This window comes from Homo sapiens, chromosome 3 (genome assembly GCF_000001405.40).
Source record: "Homo sapiens chromosome 3, GRCh38.p14 Primary Assembly".
NCBI classification, from domain to species: domain Eukaryota; kingdom Metazoa; phylum Chordata; class Mammalia; order Primates; family Hominidae; genus Homo; species Homo sapiens.
The window spans coordinates 20,010,001-20,013,261 of record NC_000003.12 but is presented as its reverse complement, the minus strand read 5'-3'; the positions used below and the strand labels follow the sequence as shown (position 1 = coordinate 20,013,261).

The 3,261-nt window shown below is 42.3% G+C and overlaps 1 protein-coding gene and 1 pseudogene across 2 annotated transcripts in view; one reads left to right on the top strand and one right to left on the bottom strand.

Annotated features, from left to right (window-relative positions):
* On the bottom strand, positions 461-859 carry RPL39P18 (ribosomal protein L39 pseudogene 18; annotated as a pseudogene).
* Positions 998-3,261, top strand: part of PP2D1 (protein phosphatase 2C like domain containing 1) — a 32,304-nt gene continuing 30,040 nt past the window's right edge. For both annotated transcript variants that reach the window (NR_027694.2, NM_001252657.2), the window contains exon 1: positions 998-1,212. Coding sequence is in view for 1 of the 2 variants with exons in the window: in NM_001252657.2 (NP_001239586.1) it covers positions 1,190-1,212 (23 nt within the window). In the remaining variant the exon portion in view is untranslated. The remainder of the gene's footprint in view (positions 1,213-3,261) is intronic.

Below are 3,261 nucleotides of genomic sequence, written 5' to 3'. Positions count from 1 at the left end.
TCATAGTTGACTGCAGCTGACTGCCTCAAACTCCTGGGCTCATGTAACTCTCCTGCCTCCGTCTCCTGAGTAGCTAGGACTACAGGTGTGTGCCACAATGCTCAGCTAATTTTTCTTTCCTTTCTTCTTTTTTTTTTTTTGTTGAAGCGATGGGGTCTCGATATGCGCTGCCCAGGCTGGTCTTGAACTCCAGGCCTCAAGCAATCCTCCTGTCTTGGCCTCCCAAAGTGCTGGGATTACAGACATGAGCCCCTGCATCCAGCAGTAAGATAGTATATATATATATATATATATATATATATATACTGTATATATATACACATATATATGTATATATGTGTATATATATATACTGTCTATATATATACACTATATATATACTGTCTATGTATATATACTGTCTATATATATACATATATGTGTGTGTGTGTGTATATATATATATATATGCAGAGAGAGAAAAACGAAAGACCTCACATATTTATTACTGAACCCAGCCAACCAGTGCCTTCATAGCACACACAGAAAGAAAAAATATAGTCCCAGTGAAACATGTCCAATTGTCCAGATAGTGGTAACATTTTCAGCTTGATATGGTAAGGTGGTCGTGACCTTCACACAACATAAATATGTGCGCCATCTCATGTGGAATTCCTTATAGACTCAGCTTGGTTCTTCTCCAATGTCTCCTTTTGAAGTTCTACTGATTTTATTACCAGTTTTCATCCAAATCCACTGGGGAATGGGACAATTTTGCTTTTGTTTCTTGGCCAGGAAACGCTTAATCCTGAAGGTTTTGTGAGAAGACATGGCGAGAAGCAGAGTCAAGCACACACCATGATGGCGGAGAAAGGAAGAGTAAGACAGTATATTTAACAAATGCTCCTTCTTTCAGAAATTCCAAAGTTTACTTCATACAACTTGTGATGTTATTGCTTCACAGTCCTTCTGAATCATAAAGTGAGTTCTGACTGAGGTTCCAGGTGATGTAGTGAACATTCCACACAGGGAGCTCTACCATCAAGTGAGGGGAATGCCCACCATCGCTATCATCACCATCACCACTACTTCTGCCACAGCCATCACATTCACCTCTACCTCCACCATCACCATCACTACTCAAGTTGGAGAAATAGAGGCCAGGGGAAGGGGATAAAGGGAGGGCAAAGAAAGGTAATTCCAAAGGAACATGAGCACCAATAATGCTTTAAGGTAAACTTTCTTAAATCTTTTTTGGATAATACGTATAGCCAATGAGTAATTATATCTACAGTATTTTTTTCTTCCACTTTCTTAATTATCAGATGAAACCTTGGCTTCCTGTTAAACTGTGTACATTGAAGAGTGATATATCCCTCTGCCTTATACAAAAGAGGAATTCCATTCCTCTCTATGCTCTTATTCTGATGTCTTTATAGTTAATTAATTAATTAATTAACTTATTTTATTTATTTATTTATTTTGAGACAGAGTCTCGTTCTGTTGCCCAGGCTGGAGTGCAATGGCGCGATCTCGGCTCACTGCAAACTCCGCTTCCCGGGTTCAAGTGATTCTCGCACCTCAGCCTCCCGAGTAGCTGGGACTGCAGGCGGCTGCCACCATGCCCGGCTAATTTTTGTATTTTTAGTAGAGACAGGGTTTCACTATGTTGGCCAGGCTGGTCTCGAATTCCTGACCTCAAGTGATAGGCCCGCCTCAGCCTCCCAAAGTGCTGAGATTATAGGCATGAGCCACTGTGCCCGGCCTATTTAATTTGTTATTATGAATGAATGAACATATGAATGATGCAATACATTCTAAGAATGGCCCACGTGTGATAGAGCTGTATTATGGCTGTCCCCGGCGTATGGAAAAATGAAGTTCTGATACAAGTAATTGACTTCAGATCAAAACACACTGTTGCGGTGCTTTATATATTGTCCCAATAGTCCATCAAGGCTCATAAAACTACATCCTTTACATGAATATTACCAAAAAATAGCAATTAAAATATTTTTATATATTTTGGCCAAAAGCTCTCAAAGGCCTTGACAGACCCAGTTTCTTCCCCTACTTCTCTGCTTACCTGTCCATTTCTTTTGCTGGGTCCTCTTGCTCCTTCTGCCGGCTAACTGATCATTCTCTTGGATATTGCCTTGGACCCCTTGCTAATATGTCTCAGCTGTGAGTTTTCCTAGGTCATTTTCTTAGGTCTCATCACACCATTCCTAGCCAGATGAAGGGCTAGGTTCCCGGTTGGGCACAATAATGGGACTTTGTCCTTGGCTCCACCTGACCTGTTTCATTCTGTTATTAATGACCTGGATGAGCATATGGACAGCACTGCAAACTTTTTCCCTCATAGCTTCAAGGGCAGGGTGCATCCTCATCCATCTGTGCATCTCAGCACCTTGCACGGTAGCTGGCCTATTGTAGGTATTTTTTATTTTTATATATTTATTTATTTATTCATTTATTCTGAGATGGAGTTTCGCTCTTGTTGCCCAGGCTGGAGTGCAATGGCATGATCTTGGCTCACCGCAACCTCCGCCCCTGGGTTCAAGCAATTCTCCTGCCTCAGCCTCCCCAGTAGCTGGGATTACAGTCACGCACCACCATGCCCGGCTAATTTTGTATTTTTTTAGTACAGATGGGGTTTCTCTATGTCGGTCAGGCTAGTCTCGAACTCCCGACCTCAGGTGATCCGCCTGCCTCGGCCTCCCAAAGTGCTGGAATTACAGCATGAGCCACTGCGCCTGGCCTATTGTAGGTATTGAAGAAGTGATTGGATTAGACTGTTGAGACTGAAGTATTTATGGGTGAGTTGATATGATTTGAAGATTGGCATTAAAATACTCCAGCAAAAATTGTGATAAAATTAAATAACAGGCTGGGCACAGTGGCTCACACCTGTAAATCGGCACTTTGGGAGGCTGAGGTGGGCAGATCACTTGAGGTCAGGAGTTCAAGACCAGCCTGGCCAACATGGTGAAACCCAGTCTCTACTGAAAATACAAAAATCAGCTAAGCATGGTGGCAGGCACCTGTAGTCCCAGCTACTCAGGAGGCTGAGGCAGAAGAATTGCTTGAACTTGGGAGGCAGATGTCAGTGAGCCGAGATAGCACTACTGCACTCCAGCCTGGGTGACAGAGCAAGACTCCACCTCAAATAAAATAAAATAACATAAAATAAGGTGGATGGGGATATAGATGAAACAGGAGTAAAAAAATATTGATGACAGTCGAAGCTAGTGATGAGTGTATGGGGACTTATTATACTCT